At 35.4% G+C, this 24,346-nt stretch overlaps 1 protein-coding gene across 7 annotated transcripts in view, besides 2 other annotated features; it reads left to right on the forward strand.

Moving 5' to 3' along the window:
• The window catches only part of DYRK1A (dual specificity tyrosine phosphorylation regulated kinase 1A), a 160,786-nt gene that overhangs the window by 51,330 nt on the left and 85,110 nt on the right, over positions 1 to 24,346 (forward strand). For 5 of the 7 annotated variants that reach the window (NM_001396.5, NM_001347722.2, NM_001347721.2 and 2 more), the window contains one exon: positions 3,397 to 3,482. The exons of 1 other annotated variant lie outside the window; for it this stretch is intronic. In NM_001396.5, the coding sequence (NP_001387.2) occupies positions 3,473 to 3,482 (10 nt within the window). In that variant the 5' untranslated portion in view covers positions 3,397 to 3,472. Of the gene's footprint in view, positions 1 to 2,002; positions 3,483 to 24,346 lie in introns of those variants that run through there. One more of the 7 variants, NM_130436.2, reaches the window with a different exon arrangement.
• Positions 17,172 to 19,453: an enhancer, noted in NCBI's record as "VISTA enhancer hs2333". NCBI's record gives its function as "enhancer in: hindbrain (rhombencephalon)[7/7] | forebrain[5/7]" and the evidence as "EXISTENCE:transgenic organism evidence [ECO:0001131][PMID:17130149]".
• Positions 18,129 to 18,757: an enhancer, noted in NCBI's record as "OCT4-NANOG hESC enhancer chr21:38807333-38807961 (GRCh37/hg19 assembly coordinates)". NCBI's record gives its function as "activates a minimal SCP1, AML or CMV promoter by ChIP-STARR-seq in primed H9 embryonic stem cells {active_cell/tissue: H9 hESC(primed)}" and the evidence as "EXISTENCE:reporter gene assay evidence [ECO:0000049][PMID:30033119]".

Consider the following 24,346-nt stretch of genomic DNA (forward strand, 5'->3'; position numbering starts at 1 on the left):
TTTCTTCCAGCTTAAGAAATGAGGTAGTACTTAACTAGTACTTTTGAAGCTCCTTGTATCATACTGATTTTTTTTCATCTGCTACTTGTAATACTTCATACTACTTTAGTTATTTTGAAATTAGATATAATTTTTAGTTTGGTGTCATTACAAAACACTGTCACATTAGAGAACATATTGCACCTGCCATTTAGTTTATTAGCTCCTGGGTTAGTCTGAACTTGCCTGTCATGCTGATGCATTCATTTCAGTCCCAGTCTTACATTCTGGATCTCTGTTTATTAGTGTATATATATATATTTTTGGAGACAGAGTTTCCCTCTTGTTGCCCAGGCTGGAGTGCAATGGCATGATCTCGGTTCACTGCAGCCTCCGCCTCCTGATTTCAAGCAATTCTTCTGCCTCAGCCTCCTGAGTAGCTGGGATTACAGGGATGCGCCACCACGCCCAGCTAATTTTTTTTGTATTTTTAGTGGAGATGGGGTTTCTCCATGTTGATCAGGCTGGTCTTGAACTCCCAACCTCAGGTGATACGCCCACCTCGGCCTCCCAAAGTGCTGGGATTACAGAGCCACTGCTCCCGGCCTTGTATTTTTTATTTTTCTTTTCTTTTTCTTTTTCTTTTTCTTTTTTTTTTTTTTTTTTTTTTTTTACAAATCTTGGTGTATCAGTGCTTTTTATTAGGTGACTTGATTTCTCCCCAACCCCTGCCTGTGGAATACAGACACCAAGAGACTAAGCTCAGTACCTATCTGAGCATACCGTGTGTTTAACAGCCTGTGGAAACTGTCCTGTCCCTGAAGATACGCTGTAGATTAATTTTATGCAGTGATTTTAAGACAACTAAAAAAAATGGTTTGTAAGTTTAACTTCAAAAAACCATGTAAGCTCGGTTCCTGGATTGTTCGTAGACCTTCACATTGCCTTTGGCAAACTGAGCTAGAACATACTGTAGAAGATTTGAGGGTCATGAGAGGTTCCTGTGGTAAAGAGAGATGTTTGTCATTAGCATTTGATTGTTACTCCATAGTTTGTGAATGGCTCCATTTGTGGGGCAGATGATGAAAAATATACTCTATATTTTTCTCAAAAAAATGAAAATATGACTGTCTAGATTTTTAAGCTTCTTTAAGAAGAAAATCGTATCTGTAGCTTATCTGCAAAGCACATTTGGTGTGTGGAATTATCTGCTTATTGTCATATAAAAACTCTGACCTTGTATTAACATTTTTGTTTTTGAAAAGTGGCTAGCCTGAAGGAAGGATATATGGAATAATCACTAGAGTCCTTATTTAAAGTAATCCAAGGTGAAGATTTCTGGAGTTTATTGTTACTTAGCATATGATGGTTTGGTTGCTGTATAAGTCAGCAGAAAATTATGTAACTCAGAGATACTTTAGGTGGCCTTTCATATGAGTAATGATTAATGGATAATGTTTCAAAAAGGTGTCAGAAATTTTGATGTGTCTTACCTTTAGATTTTTAAAATAGTAATGAAATCTAATTTCTAACAATTTTTAATAAAGAATACTGATAATTGATTCTACTGTCTTACAAAGAACTTTTGTGTCAGTAATATCTACTTCTATCGAAACTGGCGAGGTGTAAGTAGCATTGTAACATTTTCTGGGTGAAGAATATGATGTTGAGAGCCTAAAGGATTTGATTATATAGTTCATAGCTAGAGATTGAATTTATGTTTTCTTTCCCCATAGTTCATGTCATAATTTTAAAGACTGACCATTTTAGGGGAAAAATTATTAGAAAATGATGTCCTTTGAGTAAAGATAATCTTGATTCAATTATTTTTACAAATAAAACTATTCTGATGCAGCACTCTAGTGTTCATCCATCTAGTCATACACCCCCCACAATATGATACCAGCTAGTTGTAGGTCTAGTGTTTAATGTAATACCGTAACAGGCATTTGAATTGGAATGGTAGTTCTTCAGGAATGGAATCTGGAATATAGGCAAAGATTTCAGAGACAATTCCTAATTTAAAAATAACTCATATTGTCTCTGAGGTTCTTTTCCAGTGAAGTGTTTAGTATTGCTGCTATTTGGAGTACAAAGTTGGAGCTTTTAAAGAACCTGGGAGTTCAAAAGTATAAGGAGAAATAAATGAAAAGCAGAAATATTTTGAGGCAATAAGTATAGACTCAAATCTATATTATGACCCACTTGTAGCACCACTTGGAATTCTACCAATAAGAGATTTATTTGGGCAAACTATAATGGTTGTTGGAAATTGCAAATCTTAGTGTGAATTATTTTAGTCCAGTTGGTTTCTTTCTTTCTCTTACCTGAAATGAACTATACTGAGGCAATAGGAGCTTTGTATAGTAATTTAGGAGTGTAAAACAACTTAGGGAAAAGGATTATTAAGCAGGATGATTGGGATGACATCATGTGAAATTTAGGAATTGGAGGCATTGGGAATTGAGAGGGTGCTAACAAAGGAAAACAGCTTATTTTAGAATTTGTCTGGAGGATGTAGAATTGAAGAAGTTTTGGTATTTCTTCTGCAGCGGCCCCAGTGCCCTTGACCAGGAACATCTCTTGGAGTCAGTAGTTTTCATGAGGCTGACCTAGGAACTTGGCCAACATATGCAACATTGTTCTATTTAAAATATTCCTTGAATTAAATTCGATAGTATCAATTTAAAACATAAAGTTTTCACTCAACTCCTTTAGAAGTTAGATTTTAGCTTGTACTTGTCTTTACCTCTTCTGCTGATTATCAGTTGACAACACTGAGATTACTTTCATTTTCCTGTAAGTCATTATGAATTTTTCTGGTCAACCATGAGTTATCAGTGGAAGCAATAAGTAGGAAGTACTGTAAAAGAATTACAATAAAATAAGAGAAACCACTTGGAGAGCAAGAGGGCTTGTGGACTTGGGGGAGCGGTTGTGAGAAATGTCTCAGAACTTAATTTACAAATAACATTGGTAGATTGACATGTTGTCTTTCCTATAAAGTAACTTTACCTCTGTCTTAATAGTAAACTACTATGAAAGTGAATTCGTGTTCCTCTTGATTTGTGAACTGATGAAAATTACAAAATGTGGAGTTTTTTCCCCAGATAAAGTAAATGGTGGAATATTCAGGTTTATTTGATACCTAGAAAATACCTGAAATTTTCCGTGGTAATAGGCACATTTTGAAACTGTTTTTTTTTTCTCTGACAATTGAATATATTTTATATATAGTTGATTTTGATTATTGAAGACTAAGGAAAATTTAAGTTTGAATGTTAGAAAATGAATTTTGCAAATTTGAAGTAATTTTATTCTTTATGTTTTGGGATTGTAGTTATGTTAGATATTCCTCAGTTGGGGTAATTGTCTTGCATCATTATCTCTTATCATAATCTGTTTTTCTTCACACAGTGTTATAGTTTTGCCGCTGGACTCTTCCCTCCCTTCCCCCACCCCATCAGGATGATATGAGACTTGAAAGAAGACGATGCATACAGGTGACTCAAGTTTTGAAATACAGTAAAACTCTGGCTAAGAGAATGTGGGAATCGATGGTCTATTTTGAATGGGGGAGGTTTCTGATAAATAGCAGTTAGTGGGGGGAATTGTAGATCAGTAAATGCAAAGGTAGTTGGGCTATTTGTTAAACTTACTTTTGAACTCAGATTGATAATCAGTGATTTATAGTGGTGTTATTACAAATACAGCATAGTAAATGCTAGCACTTAGGCTTTTCAAGAGCTAATATTTTGGTGGGAATTGGAATAATTCTGTTAATGTAAATAACACAGTCACCTTTATGGTTGAATGCATGTCTCCCCCAGAACTCTATTAGAATATGGCAGATCTTTTATGGGAGTAGATGTTAGTAGGATATCATCAAAAAGACTGACAAGTTAAGGATATTATACCCATACATACGGTTTCTTAAAAAGATATGCTCTGGGATTTTGTTTATTTTTTCCTTGTTCCCAATATCCCTGCCTCCCATTTCCTTTCTTCCCACCCTCCCCCTCTTATCCTTTTGTCATTTGTATTTTTATACAGAAGAAGCAGTGTGAAGGCATTTTTGAAAGAATATTTTTTGATTGCTCTATAATTAATTGAGGTGATCTTTTACATGGGAAACTGGAGGCTATTCCACACATGGCTATGTTCAAATTTCTGAAAATGTAGTGCAGCTAATGTATAAAGTGTTAATAACTTTTGAACTTAAATGTTCTTAAATTAGGCATATTATAAGGCATTTTGTTGAACTAAGTGACTTAACATTTGAAACTCTGTCAGAGAGCCTTATTTGATTATATTTATAAACTGTTTGAAAATGTGATTGCTAACTGGAAAAGAAATATTTATATAAATTTTGAATTGATACCTAACAGATGCCTAATTATATCATTGGTGTAGTTTTTGTGATTGGTTTTTATTTTTGGCGATCTGGGTTTTGTCTAGGGGAAAAATCATCATTTTATGATTTTAAGATTTTAAAAAATTGTTTCGGTGTACTATTTTGTATGAAGAAATGTGCTTGAATATATTTATAAATTAAATTAGAGAGTATATAATACTTCACGTTCATGTAGAAGTCACCATTTTAAGACCGATGTTAATTCTTGTTTACGTCAAAGGTGATTGAGCAATCATCTCTGTTACGCATCTATCATGCATGCACACAGGCTTGCACATGTATGTTTGCCTGTACATATTAGAAGTATGCCAGGTACACATTCTGGCTGAGTTGCTCGCTGATTGTTAAAAGCAACGTGATGCTGAAGCTGAATATCACCATCATAGAAAAACAAATAGGCATATTTACAGAAACATTTTTAGAATTTTATGCACATTTTTTTGTTGTCAGATTTTATAAGTTTGACCTTTTGGTGCAGGAACTATTTCTCAGCATTGTCAGCTCCTGGATTGCTCCTTGGGCGCTATACTGCACATTGGCTATACCAAGTAGATGCTCACTTTCGACTGAGGTCAGTAGAGGAACAAAGTATTTTTGGGGTATCTCATAGATTTATCTATGAATATTACTGATTTTGGAGATTTTCTCTCGTGAAATTTTGGAGTTACAAAGTTTCTATTTATCCTCACAAGACATGGAGGGTTTCCAAATAGCTCTTTTTCTTGAAAGGCTTATGGTCTCAATGGAATGAAATAACTAATGAGTAAATACAGTTTATAGTTATCTAGTTAATTTTATGAATGCTAGAACACAAGAAAATTCTACAGATTAGATTTATGATAAAATCCAATCTCTTATTCAGCCTTGTATTCTTTAAAAATTGTCAGCATTTATTGGCTTACAGAGGAAAAAACCCAGGAAAGAAGATCTAGCTGTCTAATAAATATATTAGCTGTTGGTGTATTCCCTTTCTAATAGTTTGAAAGTTAACAATTGTTTTTGAACATAAAATTAACAGCTTTCAGAATCATCATTAATTAATGTAGCAGTTTGGTCTTGTATTACTATGCACACATTTATTCGACTGATAGAATTTCAACACATTAAAACTAATGAGTAGATGTTCACCGAAAGTTGTTTCTAGAGAATGCTTCCTGACATTTGAAAGCAAGTGGTCTGCTTTCTCTGGGCCTTGTTTTTACCCTCTGGCATTGTTCATGGTACTGGCTTTGTTCTGTTGGTTAGATGTGGTAACTTACTCTCATCTTTTCCTTGATGAGGCACAGGTTCAGGGATGCTGGAAAGGACACTGAAGTAGGCCTTGGCTGATGGGCCTTTCAGAAGTGAACACTTAAGAGTAGGTTTTCAGAGTAACTTTGTGAGGTGATGAATATGTTAATTGGCTTGATTGTGGTGATCATTTCATTTTGTATATGTGTATCAAAACATCATGTTTTACACCTTAATATATACACAATTTTTATTTTCCAGTTATAACTCAATAAAGCTGGTGGGAGGAGAGAAAAAAATAGTTTTACTGAACACTAGGCCAAAGTCAGACTTTGATGTATTTAGTTCATGTATCTATAGGTGTTCCTGTACTTACTTAATTTGAGAATCTTTTTGCATGTTTTAAAATACAGTTAGAACATGAATGAAGTACATTTGGATTTTCTTTTGATTTTTGGAAGAACAAATGATTTGTTAACAAACATTTATTTGGTGAGCATTTGCTTTGTACCAGGTACTATTATAGGTGCTGCTCTGCATACAAGGATCCCTGAGCTTATGGATAACAAATAAATGAGGCAGTGGAGGTTTTTGATAAAGTTTTAAGACTCACCTATTGAATTCAAGGCATGCAGAGAGAAAGTAGAGAGCACTGTCTGGGTAATGACATTGACAGTAATGGCTTTACCTGTAGGCAGAGGTTACCAAAATCTCTGCATCCCATTCTTCTCTTCCGAGCTCCACACTCAGGTAACTGCTTTCTGGATGCCTCTCCCGCATATTCCCTCCTCCTCCCCCATTCAGTCCTCTTAGTAATGAGTGACACCATTCTACCCTAACACAACATCATTTGGGGAACCTAGCAACCACTCTTTGCCCTTTTGAATCACAAGTAACCAAATTCAGTTTATTTAAGGTGTAGAATGACTTCTCAGATTAGATTTGGAAAAAGTACTGCCTCAGAGATTACCATGTATATGAACATAAAGACTTTTATATAAAGAAACCTGTGTAAACCAGCATTTCTTCAGTTTATTTGATTAAGGGACCTCCCCTCCCTTTTATTTTTGATTTATACCTATTAATAACATCCTGTGGACCATGATTTGGGAAAATCATGTTGGAAATAGAAGGGGCTGCCATTCTTTGTTTTGTTGAAATGAACTTCTTTAACAACTAAAATTTTTTAAACAATAGTGATATACTAGTCACTTTTAAATGTGGAATAGTTCCAAAGCATACAGAGCTATCACTTTTTGAGGATGAATAAACATGGAAATTTATTTTTAAATGTGCTGATTTGTTCATATTGTCTATGTCATAATTCTTATGCATACACTATATATATACTCATATATATGAATTTAAGTACTTAAAACCGTTTGTGGCAGAGTTTTAATTTTGGATTCTCTTAACTCATTTTAAAATGTGAATTTTGTAGGACAAAATTTTCATATTTCCAGTGATCACAAATGGGGTGTATTCATTATACAAGAGTTAGAAATCAGATCTGTAAATTACAAAACCCCAACTTTTAAAATCCCATCATATGTGGGGTACACTAGGAGAATGAAAGGGCATGTAGATTGTAATATTTAGGAAGCTGTCACCAGTTTGCCTCCCCTTGGAATTGTTGTCGTGGTCGTGTGTGTCTGATCTTTTTCTTTGTCTGTGTCTCCTTCTCTAGCTTTCGTTCATGTCTCAACCCAAGCAGTTTGACTTTTTTCTTACTGATTCAATAAATTTATTTTTCTAGTAAGTTAAAAAGATAGTGGATTTGCTTTTGCACTCATGTTTTTACTTTTTGTTTATTAGATGATACAAAATCACTGAAAGAATTCTGAAATGTATAAATATATATAGATAAGTATAAGGAAACATATCCCAAGTTTTAGTGTCCCCTACAGTGTGGCACATTCCCTTCCAGTTGTTTTTCATGCCATTTTTTTAACTAATTGAGGTCATTTTGAATATTCAGGATGATGTGGTTGGGTAAGATCCATTTTATACTCGTGTTGACTAACATATCATAAATGTTGCCCTACATCATCAAAAGCTAACCATAGTGATTTGCTGTTACTTTGAACTTGGAGCAAATCCAGGGTACTCAGAATGCTTTTGAAGATAATTACTTTAGATATTTATTTTACAGTATGCTTATTTCCTAGTTAAGTTAGGTATCTCTTATTTTTAGGCATTAAGTTGTTTTTTAAAGCACTAATACCTGTGCATAGTATTTGGCTGTAAAATTATTTTCTTATAATTGATTCCTAGGAGTCATAATGTTTGAAAAATTTTCAGGCTCTTGATGCAACTTTTCAGAAAGCTGTTTGGTAATATGTACCACTCTGTACATTACAAGAATGTCTCTTAATTTATTTTTCTCAGCATTGAGTATTATAGTTAAAATAAATCTTCAACAGGCAAAAAGAAGAATCTCTTATTTTGGAACAAATGAAGTAGTATTGTATACTTGGTGGAGGAAATATAAGTGCTTTAGAAATGCATAAAGTAAAAAGAGACAGCCACTCCCCTTTTCCTAATAGTTTGGAGTCTGTCTTTCTAGCGAGTAGTTTTTGTTTAATACGTTTATGGCATTTGCACATGTTGTTTACCAGTTTTATGTCCAGCTAGTCCGATAGTTCCTGAAGGTCAGGGGGTTAAGGCTTATCCTCTTTGTGTGCCCTGTGACTGTCTGGCAGGATTTCTGGGACACAGGAAGTGCTCAGCAAATGCAAAAAGAATAATTTTTGGCATCCTAATGGCATTTTTAATGCCTAAAAATAAGTATATTAATGCTTGCTTTAATACATTTCTTCAAGTGGTTTTAAGAGTTTCTTATTATTTTCCATTGCTTTTTATGTTTCATAGTTTTATTTATGTTTCTAAGTGGAAGCAATTAATAATGATTACATTATGTATGTGTCATATGAAAAAGCATTTGATATTTATAGAAAAAATGATGGGAAATCTGAGGTAAGCCACATTGTAAAATTGAATTTTTTACCTTAGTGTGTCTATTTAAGACCCAGGTAAAAGAAAATACATTTATATTCATGATTTTGGATTTTAGGTATACTTATTAAGTGTACCTTGAAAGAATGTCTAAGTTCTAGGAAGATGACAACAGAACATAGTTTTAAAATTTTCCCATTTTCCTCTAGAAGAGACAGAGTAACTAGCTCAGCAAAACCAAAACGTCACATTCAGCATCTGCAAGACTAGGTGAACAGTATCCCCACTGACTCACATACAAGTAAGTAGGTGAGAGTGAATGTTGATAGCAAGACCTGTGTGGTATCAGCATTTGTGCAGAAGGAGGCATGAGGGTGTCTGATGGACCTGAGAATAGGAGAACCCTAAGATAACCAACAGAGGAGACTCACTGCAGTGAGAGACTTGCGGAAATTATGTTTGAGAAGAGCAGCTGGAACTGGAGATAGTTTTGAGTTCCCTGGAGGACACAATAAGTTCTGAAGGGGGGTTAGAGTCATGTGGTCCCCATGAACTCTCAAAACCAGTTTAAGCTCCATTCCCAGTCAAAGCCCTACACCAAGGAGACACTGCTGGGGATAGAATCCACATTAAACAAGATGGAGATAATGAGGGCAAAGGAAAAAATGTCAGATGAAAGTGGGAGAAGATAAAAGCACAGGAGATCTTATTCATGAGTCTATATTTTGGGATCCTTCATGAAAAGGGAAGAGAACTCTTATTGAAGTCAGAAAAGCTACTCCAGTTTCCCCAAAGTTTTTTATTTTACATAAAAACGAGCAGTGGACAGGGATCATAGTCAAAATCCCCACAGAGTTTTTATAAGAGAAAAGCATAAGGAGCCGAATATTATTACTGCAGACAATGAAAGCATGCCAGAAAGAAATGTCCACAAAATAAATGAAACTATAACTTGTTTCAGAATAATCCCAGAGAAATTTAGAAAATGATACAAACACTAAAGCACAATGTAAATCTGAATAAGGAAAAATCAGAAAAGTGGTGATAACCCAGGAAAGAGAAGTAAAAGATAATTTAAAAAATGAAACCTAAACAGAGTGAAAAACACAATATAAAATTTCTCAAAAAACTGTTTAAGATGAATAACCAGCCGGGTGTGGTGGCTCACGCCTGTAATCTCAGCACTTTGGGAGGCCGAGGCGGGCAGATCACGAGGTCAGGAGATCGAGACCATCCTGGCTAACATGGTGAAACCCCGTCTCTACTAAAAATACAAAAAAAAAAAAAAAATAAGCCAGGTTTGGTGGCGGGCACCTTTAGTCCCAGCTACTTGGGAGGCTTAGGCAGGAGAATGGCATGAACCTGGGAGGCGGAGCTTGCAGTGAGCCGAGATAGCGCCACTGGACTCCAGCTTGGGCTAAAGAGCGAGACTCGGTTCTAAAAAAAAAAAAAAAAGAGATGAATAACCAAGAAGAAATGAAGAAAAATGAAGCATTCCAGAGAAAGCGACAGTTACTAAAGACAGGCAAGGAAGTTTCAACATACAAATAACAGGAGGCTCTGAAGAAGAACTAAAGCAATGAAACTTAACAGATACTAACAATATAACTCAAGAAAATTTGTTGAAATTTGCTTTGCAGATTTTTTTTAAGAGAGTCTTGCTGTGTTGCCTAAGCTGGAATGCCATGTGGCATAAGCATGGCTCACTGCAGCCTTGAACTCCTGGGCTAAAGCTATCCTCCTGCCTCAGCCTCCCAAGTAGCTAGGACTGCAGGCACGTGCTGCCACACCTGGCTAACTTCTTTATTTTTATTTCTGTAGAGATGTGGTCTTGCTGTGTTCCCTAGGCTGGTTTTGAACTGCTGAAGACCAGCCTTAAGTGATTCTTCCGCCTTAACCTCCCAAAGTGCTGGGATTACAGGTGTGAGTCACCGTCTTGGCCTTTAGTCACTTTTTAGTGTGCTTTTAAAATTTAAACATTCTCCAGCATCAATATTCTTCTATAGTACTGTTTTAAATGACTAATCAGTATTCTGCGAATTAGTTAATGTTTAACGGTTCCCCATTTTTGCTAATTAGTTCATGAACAATGTTTAAGTGGATACTATTATCGTGTTTTTTGTTTGTTTTTTATTTATTGCCTTAGGTTCAATTCCTAGAAGTTGGAATTGTTAAGGTGAAGCATATGTACATTTTAAAGCCTTTTGATACATTATTTTCAAATACCTTTTTAAAGTACAGTTTATGCTTCTACCAGCTGCACATCAGAATTTTTCTGCACCCTAGGATCCTAGGTATTTTAAAATGTTTGCCAATTCAATAGACAAAACATAACTCAATATTTACATTTACATTTGCTTGAATATTAGACCGAGTATGTTTTTTGGGGGGTTTGTTACTCATGTTTTTTGTGAGTTTCCTTTTATCATTCTTTGTTGATATTTCTTTGGGGTTTTAATTTTTTTTCTTAATTTACCAAAGTTTCTCATTGAACCCTTACTAGATGCCAATGACTATTCTAAATTATTTACAGGTATTAACTTATTTACTCCTAATGATAACTCTGGTACAGGTACTGTGATTGACCCAGACAGAGGTTCGGTAGCCTGCCCCAGGTCACACAGCTAGTAAGGGATGGAGCTGGGGAGCAAATTCAGGGCCTGTGAGTCCCTCCTCTTAATGATCATGCTTTTGATTTTAGGGATACTTACTGTTACTTATTGCTGGTACATTTTCCAGTTTGCATTTGCCTTTTGTTCATGGTGTCGTTTTATACAAGAGCTTTAACTTTTTGTATGGGAGAACTAAGTTTTATTTATTAGTGTAATGCCTCAAACATAACAGATTCTCAAATCTATGTGTTGAACAAATGAGAATGAACCCATCAGCAGTCTGTTGATGGTGATGACCTTTTATGTAGTGTAATATGTATCTCCTTTTAAAGGGATTCCCAGGGCTTCATAAATGAGTTACTCTTTGGTTTTTATCAGGCACAGTAAGCTTATCTGTATTAGCTCTTCTGGAAAGTTTTTTAGATGTAATCACTGCTTTTAAAAGGAACATGTGTTCTTAAACAAGCAAATAGGAGTTGTGAAGAATGTATTTATTGATAATGATTTGAATTGTAGATTCAAAGTGAAATGAAATAATTTCACTCTAGGAATAATTTGATGGGATTTGTTTTTTGTATTTTTAGAAAATTATAGATTTGGCCATTGTTTAAAAAGTTTTGAATAAATTTTGGCTTAGTGTAAGAAGATTCTTTGATAGGAAAACTAAAACTATTTGATATAAAAAGTTATCATTGCTTAAGATTTGGATAGTGTAGATCATCTCCTCAAAAGGTGAAATTTAAGATTTTACTTTTCTCGAATTCCTGACCTCAGGTTATCCTGCTGCCTTGGGCTCCCAAAGTGCTGGGATTACAGGTATGAGCCACCGTGCCCGACCAAGATTTTACTTTTCTTTAAGCACTCTTTCTCCTCTTCTCTCTGGTGGTGAATACCAGGCTACTTAATGGTGCCTTCTTAGTTTGGCCTCTGTATTCCTTAGTCTTTTAAAAAAGTGTAGAGATCCATATTGCTAATGGATATACATTAGAGAGAAACACAAATAAGTTAATTTTAATTTTTATAAACCATCCACAAAATATACTCCATGGAATCAGATACTCAAAAAGATACCGAGATGTAAATATTTATGTTGTTAACGCAAATCCAGGTCTGCTTTGTAGAAGGTTACCAAAGCTTAAAAACCATTGTTGAGTGCTTGCTGTTTTTGTAACCTACTGGTTGCAGCCAGCTCTTTCCTCTCCTACTGGTGGTAGTAGTATTCTTCAGGCCATTTGTATTAGTCTGTTCTTGCACTGCTATAAAGGAAACCTAAGACTGGGTCATTTATGAAGAAAAGAGTTTTAATTGGTACACGGTTCCACAGGTTATACATGAAGCATGGCTAGGGAGGCCTCAGGAAACTTAGAGTCATGGTAGAGAGTGAAGGGGAAGCAGGCATGTCTTACATAGCCCCAGCAGGAGGAAAAGAGAGAAGTGGGAGTGCTACACACTTCTAGACAACCAGATCTCGCGAGAACGTACTCACCATCGTGAGAATAGCAAGGGGGAGGTGTGCCCCTGTGATCCAATCACCTTTCAAGAGGCCTCTCCTCCAACATTGAGAATTACAGCTTGACGTGAGATTTGTGTGGGGACACATATCCAAAACATAATCACCATGCTTAGCCGATATTGTTAAATTCAGACTTGTTCTTTTAAGCATTAATCAGTCAATTTACATGCTTATGTTAATAAAATTTAATCCATTCTGGAAGTAAAAGAACGAAATGTCAGTTTTCCTTTTCCTCGTTTCCACTTACAGGGGTAACCCCTTTTACTATTTTCCGTTTTAAAATTCTTCTCTTGGTTGCCTCCATGATTTTTAATACATTAGTATGTTTGTAGCTGTGTTTTAGTATTTTAAAAAACTATTGAAAAATGAAACCAGATAGCTCTCAGTGCTACCTCTTTTCCATCCAGTTTCTCCCGATCCTCTTTTAAAGTTTTTCTGTTGATTATTATTAAAATTTTATAAAACTAACTTAAACCTCATTCTTGGCCATCAGTTTTAGACAGTTTCTCTTGATTTCTCAAGATTTGAAATGAGAGCTTTAGAGCCCTTTATATTTCTTTTTACCTCACAGCTGTTACCCACCAGTTACTTCCAGCTTGTATATAGGTATGTTCACTTACACATCTTTCTTTCACTTAATTGAATCCTTTATTTTTGTCTTAGAATCTTCTGAATATTGAAAACAGAGAACTATACTGGAAGAACATAGTGTATTAAGACTCATGGAGAGGGAGATGTGATACTGTGTCACTGAGGTCGTTCCAGTCATAGGAGAAATGTTACCACTGGATTGAGGTCTGGTACATTTTAAAAGATGATTTAATTCTATGATATGTGTTCAACTTGCACTAGGATAGTTTTTACTTTCACCTTTGTTCCATGCACCGCGCAAATACCTGGGAACCCTTGTTGCCCAACTCAAGAGCCAGAGTCCTCTGTCATCATTTTGCCTCTCTCCTAAGTGACAGGACTGAGTGCAGACTTGGTGTTTGTGGGTGAGGCATGTGGACTGACAGGCAGGCTTCAGTTTATTTAGCGAGTGTGAGCCCTGGCAGGAAGATTCTCTTTCTCTGCTTGCCAGGTTGAGGAGGCCTCATTAAGCAGTTTGAACTTGTGGTTTTGGCGTGTCTAGTCCTGGTGCAGGTGGCTTGGTATCCTCACAGGCATTTCTTTGGCCTCACCCTTGGGGTGACTGTTCACTTGTGTTTGAGCGGCTGGGACTCAGTAGGTTCACTGGAGTAGGTATTTCTTTAGAGCCACTGGCGGAGGCTGATCATGCGGCAGATAGTTGTTTAGTATCAAGCCAGTCTCTCCCCTTCTTTCTACTCCAGTTTTTCTTTACCACCCAGAATGGCATCTGCCACTTCTGCTCTGGTTCCTAGATCTTTTTGACATTCCTTAAATTATTGGTATTATCCCAGTTGCCTTTTCTTGCAGAAAACTGACAAAATCTTTGGTTCACTGGTATGTCTCCATCCCATGCTTTATTTTATTTAGTGATCTTTCACTGCTTGTTTCTATGGATGATATAGAGGAATATAGAGGATAAGAACAATATGTTTACTCTATCCAGTGTTCTAGATTTTCTTGTTAGAAGCACCCTCCTTCCCAGCTTGGGAAAACTGAGCTGCTGGGGTGGCTGTTGGCTCCTTCGCTTGCTGTTAGTTTTAAAGGATTGTTTTCAGTCACACTTGAATTGTAGCTATCCTTGGTTCTCTTTTTACCAATGAATTCTGGTAGTATGTTTTAAGAGCTGGGTGGCCTTCCTGGCCTTTGTAAACATTTCCTGCAATGCCTAGCTTTAGTGAGCTGCGAAGTTGCCCATTGGAGATGAGGCTCTATTGAAAGTCAGCACCTGTACTTCACTCCCTGCCTTTTGTGACTTTGGGTTTCGACCGGGTGTTTGGAAGCACTGTTTCTTCTGTCCTTGACCTTGTTCCACATGTTTTACCCATTACCTCCTGTGAGCAGGCACAGGGCCTTTCCTTGTCACCTGGGCTTCAGCTGCTTTGAGGATGACTACTTACCCCTTGCAGTAGCTTCCCACCAAGGTTCTTGAAAGGGAAGTTTTCATAATGTTCATTTTTTTAAAAAGTTAGACCAGCTATACCCCCTAAACTTAAGTCTGCTTGTTTTCATATGACGTAGAAATTGATACAAAAATACTTTATGTAGTTTGTATAGATGTAGTTGCTTAAGAAAGATGACACTTACTGTACTATTTTGTTGTCTTGATAAGTACAGTACAAAAACCAGTTTTTAAACCCTAAAGTTAATTTGCAAGAAATTGATACAAAAATACTTTATGTAGTTTGTATAGATGAAGTTGCTAAGAAAGGTGACACTTACTGTACTATTTTGTTGTCTGGATAAGTACAGTACAAAAACCAGTTTTTAAACCCTAAAGTTAATTTGCAAGAATCTTTTTGTTTTGACAATATACTATTATAACTTTTAGCTGAATAAAATCTTAAGTCAACTTTTATGTTTTCATGATACCTAAATGAGGGAGCAAAAGTATATTTAGTATATGACAGTATACTGTCATATACTACTGAATTTTCATAAGGTTCTAGGAGCCTTTTTTTTTGTTCTGGGAAAGGGAGGGAGGAAGAGGATGGCACTGTTACCCAAATGTGAGTTAGTTGATTCAGAAGAGTAAAGAATAGTCCAATAGTCCAGTAGTTAAAAATTTATGTCTGTAATCCAGATTTAAATACCAGTTTATCTTCTAGCTTTATAAACAGTCTTAATGAGAAGTAGGGGACAAAAAAGAAGCAGGATTGCCCTTAGGTTAGAGAATAGAAATATCTACTTGGCTTAACGTTTTTATGAAAGATGTCCAGCAAAACTGTGGTGGCAGCCTCACTTTAGAGAATGAGGTATTAAAAACTTGACCAAGGTAGTCATGCCAGACTTTTGAATATTTTTCCAAATAAGATGGCTTCAAATTGAAAAATTTTATCCACTTGATATTTTTCAAAACTATAAAGCTGTGTTCTATTTCTACCTAAAATATAAAATTGTTAGTATGGTATGATTTGTCATTTGAGATGATCTTGGCTAATACATTACTGGGCATAATAATGGCTATTACACATTGAGAGGATAGAGGCTGTTTCCGTGTCTCAAGCATCATTAACTGCAGATAAAAAAAAGTTAACAGTTATTCTAAAAATATTTCTTATAGGGGAGAAAATGTAATCAGTATATTGTATGTTTTAGTCTGGTGTGGTGGTGCAAGCTTGTAATCCCAGCTACTCAGGAGGCTGAGGCAGGAGAATAGCTTGAACCCAGGAGGCGGAAGTTGCAGTGAGCCGAGATCGCGCCATTGCACTCCAGCCTGGGCAAAAGAGCAAAACTCCATCTAAAAAAAAAAAAAAAAGTTAATGATTAATTGTATACTTAGAAAACTTACTTTCTTTACTAGGAATTCTAAATATATATATATATATATATATGTAATGAAGATTTTAGTTTAGTAAGTTAACTATTTTAAAACATGTTTAATGTTTAATTTCTGATTCTAAAAGTAGTACTTTTTGGTACTTTCCTAAACTCCATAATTTAAGTAACTTTAAAAAGAACTGATGCTAAGCTAAACATTTAAATTGAGGATTATCCCAGAGCATCTGTCACTAGGCAGATGATGTTTCCTTATGTCTCTAGTCCCCAAAGGAAAGTAGGAGTGCCAAGTTTTTAATATTTGTCCCTTTCAAGAAGGGGAAAGTTTTGTGATACAAAAAATGTTTAAGAGGTGGACCAGGAAACAGTCCCTTGACATGGAAAATGCCCAGGCTGAGTTAGGATTGCTTTATCTATATGGAGGGAATAAGAACCTGGGAGAACAAACCAAAATATTAAAGATTCATGAGTAAGAGTATGAATGAAATTGGCTTTAAAATCTTTCCCTTTTATTTCTCTCTTACCTTTATCCTTCGGAATTAAAGGAGGCTAATGCAGGTTCCAAGTAGTTCAAAAATGTACCAAAAGTTGTGAAGTTTAAAGGGCTGAGATTGAGTCTTTCAGGGAATGGATTAAATACTTTGGTTTCGACAGTGATTTTCAAACCTGTCTTAAGCCTTGACTCGTAGTGTGTAGATGATAGTATCGTGAATGATCCTGAGCTAATCTCATGAAAGCTTACATTTAAACAAATTTTCATATGGACAAGAAACCAAGAGACATTGATGTGTGACTAAAATATTGATTATTCATGGATTCTGCGAGAGCTTTGCTTTTTATCTGTGGGATCTTACGCATTATGTTTCTAAAAATATAGTTTCTTTGTTTCTAGGATGGGGGGGTTAATATTAGATTATTTTTAAGTTTCCTTCTAGTTTTAGAGTTATTGATCCTTTTTCTGACTTTTAGAACCTGACTTTTCCAGTCTTGGTTTCATTGGACTTTAACGGGTTCCAGAATTCCTGAGTAGAGAGAACATGGGAAGAAATTAAGGGACAGGTGTGGGTGATGGGTGCTTAGAGATGGTGGAAAAGTGGCTTCAGGAGAAGAGAAATTGTAGTGTTAGGGATAGGACCAGCATGCTCTTCTCTTGGAATCTGATGCTTGAAATCTACTCTGTCTTAATGAAATATACTTTACAAATGCTAGACGTCTTTCTGGAGACGTTTATAGACACTCTATGGAAAAATATCTAAAAATCATGAAATTTTTCATGATGTGGAATGAATCTGTACTCTATTTAGGAGGAGATAATTGCTAGGCTAGGTGGGACAAGTTGATCTATTTTAAAATAAAATTGTATCTTTTATAAGGCACAAATGGGAACTGTGTCTCCTTGACATGTTTCAAAGCATTTCTCTGAATATGTGAGATTAAAGAAACTCTCAACCACTCAGAATTGTCAGAACACTGATGTTCTTTAAAACTATCTTTGTAGCTGTTAGTATGTACTGACACAGTTGAAGTTTTTAATGTTTTATTCATTATTAGACATTTTGCATATGAATGTAATGTCTTTTATTTACAGTTACATCTTAACTGAACTTGGTTCCCAGATATGAGTATTATTTACTTGGTCTCAGTCTTCATATTTTAAGCTCTATAGGTTAATACTTAATTGGGTTTTATTTTAAAATTATTTTTGAAGCTATATATTAAAGTTTGTCGTAATAAACCAAATGTTAGTTTTCCTCCACCTGGGAATACTTGAGACTTCAGTGAGCCACGCTTTCTGTTATGCCCACCTCTTTAGTCTTTCCATTATAGAATAAACATGCTTTGTGTGATTTCTCTAAAATGTAATGTTTGAGAATCTATTTTAATGTATAGAAAGACATTTACATAATGCTTTTGAGTAGGTGGGGAAAAAAGTTGAAATGTTGATGGCAGCATCTGTTAGAAAAACTCACATGTCTATATAGTAAAAAGTTAAAATTACAACAAATGCACTACTTTAACTGTGTTCTGCATGTTATTCCATGGGATCGCCTTTGGAGTAAAGTAGAATATGTTTCTAGTCTTTTATAGTTGGTGTTAATTTTGTTCTAAACGTGAAAGTGTTAACAGCAAGTTGAAAATGTGACAAAGCTCAATTTCATTTCTTGTTTATTGCTTGTTTTCCTATTGGACAATTGGAAGTAGCTTTGCCCTGGCAACTAAAATAGGCTATTTGCATAACCTAGTTTGATTGGCTAGCATCCTGACTAACAGTTCCAATCATATGGTGTCGGTTTAGTGGTAGGCTATGCTAATTAGCCGCTGTTGCTGGGGTTCAGGGATGGTTTCTGTGTGCTGTTCTGCTGCATTGTGTTGCCTGGTGAGAGACATTGATAAATGAGCGTTTAATGATCTGCAGCAGTTCCCACTCACTGCGGGCAGGCGGATTTTAGAACAGAAGTGGAAATAAGGCTTTAATTGCTCTGTTAAATAACTGTAACCAAAATATGTGTATTACATTTTAGAAATTAAGTTGTATGAAATCTTAAATACTTCATAACACAAAAGGAAAATACTTTAGCTTTGTCTCTTAAAATATAACTCAGGTAGCAGCACTATGCACAGGTTTCCTAAAACTGTGAAACTGATCATTTTTTTCAGATCAGAAACAGTACCCTTGTAGTAAGTAGCATGCTTGATTTTTCTTATGACTTTGACCTTTTATAAAGATACACGTTTGTATTTAATAAAATGTTGCAAGCTTTTGGGCAGAATTTATCTTGTACTGCCTGTGTAGTCTAGCAAATAAGAGCATAAACTTGAATTCCCTGTTCTTCTTCTGTTGAATTTGAAGATCAGGTTGTTATTCACTACCTCCTGCTATTACTTTTCTAATTGAAGTCAGATGTTTTAACTGTTGCTTGTACCGTTATGTTGGTGTATGTGAAGTCTTTATTGGTACTGTCAGATGGTAGGTTCTGCAGAAAAAAAAATCAGTTCTTTGTTTAAGGAACATGAGGTGAAGAATAAATACATGTGACGTTAGATTAAAAATTCAAGATGACCATATGGAAAAGTGCTGTAAGGATTTATCTGGAAGGGTATAGGGGAAAAAATTCTAGGCCTTTTTATGATAGGGACATGGGAAATGGATTGAGAGTCTGGGAAAGGGTTAAAGAGGAAGCCCATAGAATTTGTGTTAAGGTTTTAAATATCACTTAGGTTTCAAACAGCTAGAGAGTAATAAGAAGAAAGAGCATTTTAGGGTGAGGAATAGGTGAGCAAAAGTAATGTTTCTGGTATTCAGTTGTCAAATGTAAGTGGTCACAGTGATCAAGGACTCCGGGGCCTTAGGTGTGTCAGTGCCCCAGCTTCCAGGCAGGCTTGTGTCATTCCCTTGAAATAAGACCTGGTGTCTTACTGTTCCAGCTAGCACCATTTCTGGCTTTTTGTCACTTGGTTTTGTTGGAAGCAGGGCTGTCCACTTTTTGTGTCTGATGGTTAAAGCATAGGACTCTTTTGCCTTCTTTTGTCCCTCCCATTGGCCCTAAAGCATTGAAACACGGATGCCAAAAATAATTCATGTGAATTTAGATGTTTGTATTAAATTTTCTGTAAAGTGTATCCCTTTAATTGTTCTGGCCTTTATTTAAGAGCATAGTAAAATTAGACAAGCTAACTGGACAATCTTACAGACTAGTAAAGAATGAAAACCAACATTAAACCATAACATTTGATTCTTAATCACACGTCCCCAGGCATATATACTGAACATGTATTCTAAAATAAATTTACAGAAATGCTTTATTCAACCAGTCAGAGGGGACCTAGATACAGAATTTATAATTTAACAGAGGTGGATATGTCTTTACATAACTATATGACATGGTGGAGTATGGAGTATCCATGCTGTAAGAGAGGTGGAAATTCAGAAGAGGGAGAAATTTTTGGATTGGGACTAGGAAAAGATTCTTGGCGAAAATGGTATTTCATATGGTCTTGAGGAATGGGCAGTATTTTAACAGGTGATGTTTGAAGGCTACAGGGTGTGGAAGATGCTATACCAGTTGAAGATGGGGGCCTGTTCGAAAATTGCATTTACTAAGGTAGATGGTAGAGGAGACTATGTTGTTGAGGGCCCTAAGTGGTGGATAGTATAGACTTTGAAGTTTTTCTTGTAAAAAGTGGGGGATTTTTGAATTTTTTACAGCAGTGGTTCACAATGTGTTTTTTAAAAACACATGCCCTCCATGAATGTTTGCAAGTTTCAAAATAGACATTTCTTTGATTTTTAAAATATGAAAATGTGGTATTGAGTAATTTCAAGGGGTTTTTGAGTTGCCATCATCTAAAACGAGATATGTTGTAGGAGAAGCAGATTTTTTTGTGGAGTGGAGGGAAGGGATTGATTGTACTTAGAGTCAGGTTTTGAATGGGTTAAAAGTTTTTAAAACAGCTTTATTGTGTTATAATTGGCCTACAGTAAACTTCACATAATTGAAAGTATACAATTTGATGGATTTTGACAAGTATTACTTGTGAAACTTTTACCACAAGTCAGATAATGAAGATTTATTACTTCACTTGTTCCAGAATTTTATATAAACAGGATTATATGTGTTCTTTTTGCCTGGTTTTAGTTCTTTTGAGAGTCATATGTGTTGTGATACCTATCAGTAGTTCACTGTTTTTATTGCTGAGTAGTATTTCATTGTGTGTATATACTTTGGTTTATCCACTTACCTGTTGAAGCACATTTGGGTTGTTTCCAGTTTTTGTCTATTACAAATAAAGATGCTATGAATATTGTTGTACAACTTTTTGTATGGACATATGTTTTTATTTCTCTTTATTTCCTAACATTGGAGTGACTCAATCATGTGGTGGGTATATGCCTAACTTTTAAAGAAACTGCTAAATGGTTTTACAAAGTAGTTGTACCGTTTTACATTTTCACCAGCAGTTCAGGAGAGTTTCAGTTGCTTCACATTTTGCCATATTTGGTGGTCAGCCTTTTTAATTTTAGCCATTCTAATACTTGGGTAGTGATATCTCATTGTGTTTCTCTGTGATTAATGTTGTTGAGCATCTTTGTATGTACTTTTTTGCCCCCTGTATGTCGTGTTTGGTGAAGTGTTTGTTCAAATCTTTTGTCATTCTTTTTTCGGTTATTGAGCTTTTAGAGTTTCTTATACATTTGATACAAATCCTTTATCAAATACATGATTTGCTAAGCTTTTCTCCTAGTCCATGGCTTGTCTTTTTATTCTCTTTAAAAGTGTCTTGAAGATCTGATGTTTTCAATTTTTATGAAGCCTAATTTATTCATTTGTTCTTTTATGAAAGCTGCTTTTGGAAAGTTTTTGCATAATTGTCCCATGATCAAAAACGTTTTTGCCTATGTTTGTTGTTGTTTTTTTCCCCACTAGATTTTACAGTTTTAGGTTTTATATTTAAGTCTGTGGTCCATTTGGAGTTAATGTTTGTTAATAGTGTGCTGCAAAGTATAGATCAAAGATCACTTTTTTTTGCAAATGGATATTCATTTATTGTAGAACCATTTGTCAAAAGGACTGTCCTTTCTCCACTGAATTGCCTTTGCACCTTTGTCAAAAATCAGTCTTCCATATATGTGTGGGTCTGTTTGTGGATTTTCCATTCTGTTCCATTAATCTATTTGTCCTGATACCAATACCATATTGTGTTGACCTTCTGTGGCCTTAATAATAATTAATGCAATCAGGTAGTCTTAATTCTACAACTTTCCTCTTATTCAAAGTTTTTATAACTACTCTAGGTCTTTTGCATTTTCATATGAATTTTCAAATCAGTTCGCTAATTTCTTCAATAAAGTTTGCTAGGATGTTGATTGGGGTTGTGTTGAATATATAGATAATTTCAGAAGAATTGATACTTTAACTGTATTGATTTTTGGACCCGTGCACATATATCTATTTAGCCCTTTCTCTCATTTTTCTAATTTTCAGTATGCAGTTTTTTCATGTATTTTGTCAGGTTTATGCCTAAGTATTTCATATTTTTGTCACTATTTTAAATGGCTTTTAAATTTCAGTTTCTGATATATAGTTACAGTACTAGCACATAGAAATACAATTGATATAAATATATCCTTGTATTCTGTGACCTTGCTAAAATCACTTAATAATGCAGCTTTTTGGTAGGTTCCATCACATTTTCTATCTAGATAATCACATTTCCTATGATGAGAGACAATTTTTCTGCTTTCCAGTTTGGTTACCTTGTATGTATTTCTTTTTCTTGCCGTTCTACATTGGCTCCAACCTCTATGGAATGTGGAATATATATGGAACATAGACTACAATGTTGAATAGAAGTAGTGAAAGAGGACATTCTGTTTTGTTCTTTATGTTAGAGGATCAAACAGTATGTTAGCTGTAGAGTTTTTTTGTCAGTGTCCTTTATCACAAGGGTCCCCAACCCCTGGTACTGTCTGAGGCCTGTTAGGAACTGGGCCGCACAGCAGGAGGTGCCGAGCACTACCACCTGAGCTCTGCCTCTTTTCACGTCACCTGAAGCATTAGACTCGCATAGACATGCACATGCAAGGGATCCAGGTTGCGTGCTTCTTATGAGAGTCTAATGCCTGATGATCTGAGGTAGAACAGTTTTTCATTCTGAAACCATATCTCCCCCCATGGAAAAACTGTCCTCCATGAAACCAGTCCCTGGTGCCAAAAAGTTTGGGGGACCGCTGCTTTATCAGATTGGGAAAGATACCTTCTATTTCTAGTTAATGAAAGTTTGTTTTAGGTCAAGTATGGATGTTGGATTTGTCAAATGTTTTTTCTGCATCTCCCGAGATTACCACATGGTTTTTATTTTTTAGTTAATTTGATGAATTGTACTGATTGATTTCTTAATGTTAAACTGATAATAGTGTTTGCTGAAATAAAGGTCACTTTGTTATGATGGTCTTTATTTTGATTGTTTGATTCAAATAGTTACAATTTTGTTTAGAATTTTTATATCTTATGTTCATGAAAGATATTGGGGTTTTATTGATTTCTGTTTTTCTGTTTTGTTGATTTCTACTCTGGATCCTTATTTTTGTTATTCCGTTGACTTTGATTTTGTTTGCTCCTTTTTTTTTTTTTTTTTTTTTTTGAGACGGAGTTTCACTCTGTTTCCCAGGCTGGAGTGCAGTGGTGTGATCTCGGTTCACTGCAACCTCCGCCCCCTGGGTTCAAGTGATTCTCCTGCCTCAGCCTCCTGAGTAGCTGGGACTACAGTTGTGTGCCACTACGTCTGGCTAATTTTTTGTATTTTTAGTAGAGACAGGGTTTCACCATGCTGATCAGGCTGGTCTCGAACTCCTGACCTCAAGTGATCCGCCTGCCTCAGCCTTCCAAAGTGTTGGGATTACAGGCGTGAGCCACTGCGCCCAGCTTCATTTGCTCTTTTTCTAGTGTATTAAGGTAAAAAGCAGAAGCCATTGATTTAAGAACTCTTTTCCTTTCTAATAGAGATGATTAATGCTATAATATTCTCCGTAACTATTGTCTTAGCTGTATCAAAAATTTTGATATATTTTATTTTCATTCTTTTCAGAATGCTTTATAATTTGCTGTTTGCTTTCTTCCTTGAGTTGTGGTTATTTAGGACTATTTTGTTTTGAGTTATGGTTTCTTCCTTGAGTTGTGGTTATTTAGGACTATTTTGTTTTACTTACATGGTTCTGTTACTTTATTCTGATTTAGTTTGTCACCAGAGAACGTATTTTGAATAACTCGATTTCCTTTAATTTATTAGGGTTTGTTTTGTACCCCATAATGTTGTCTATCTTGGTTAAAGTTGCTTTGTCCCTAGAAAAGAATGTATATTCTGCTGTTCTTTGGTAGAATATTCTCTAAATGTTAATTAGGTCAACTTGGTCGGTAGTGTTGATCAGATCTTGTATATCTTTATTGATTTTCTCTCCACTTGTTCTATCAAATATTGAGAGACGGATATTGAAATCTCTTAATATAATTGTGTCTATCGTTGTAGTTTTATCATTTTTTTTGGTCTGTGTGTTTTAAAGCTCTGTTAATAGGTTCATAGATGTTCAGGATTTAGTATGTTCTCTTGGTGATTTGACACTTTTATCATTGGAAAATAACTTTCATCTCGTGATATTCTTCAGACTGCAGCATACTTTCTTTGATAATATAGCCATTCTGTCTTAATTTTGATAGCATGATATATCTTTTCCCAGATGTT

The sequence above is a fragment of the Homo sapiens genome, chromosome 21 (assembly GCF_000001405.40).
Source record: "Homo sapiens chromosome 21, GRCh38.p14 Primary Assembly".
Classification (NCBI taxonomy): Eukaryota; Metazoa; Chordata; class Mammalia; order Primates; family Hominidae; genus Homo; species Homo sapiens.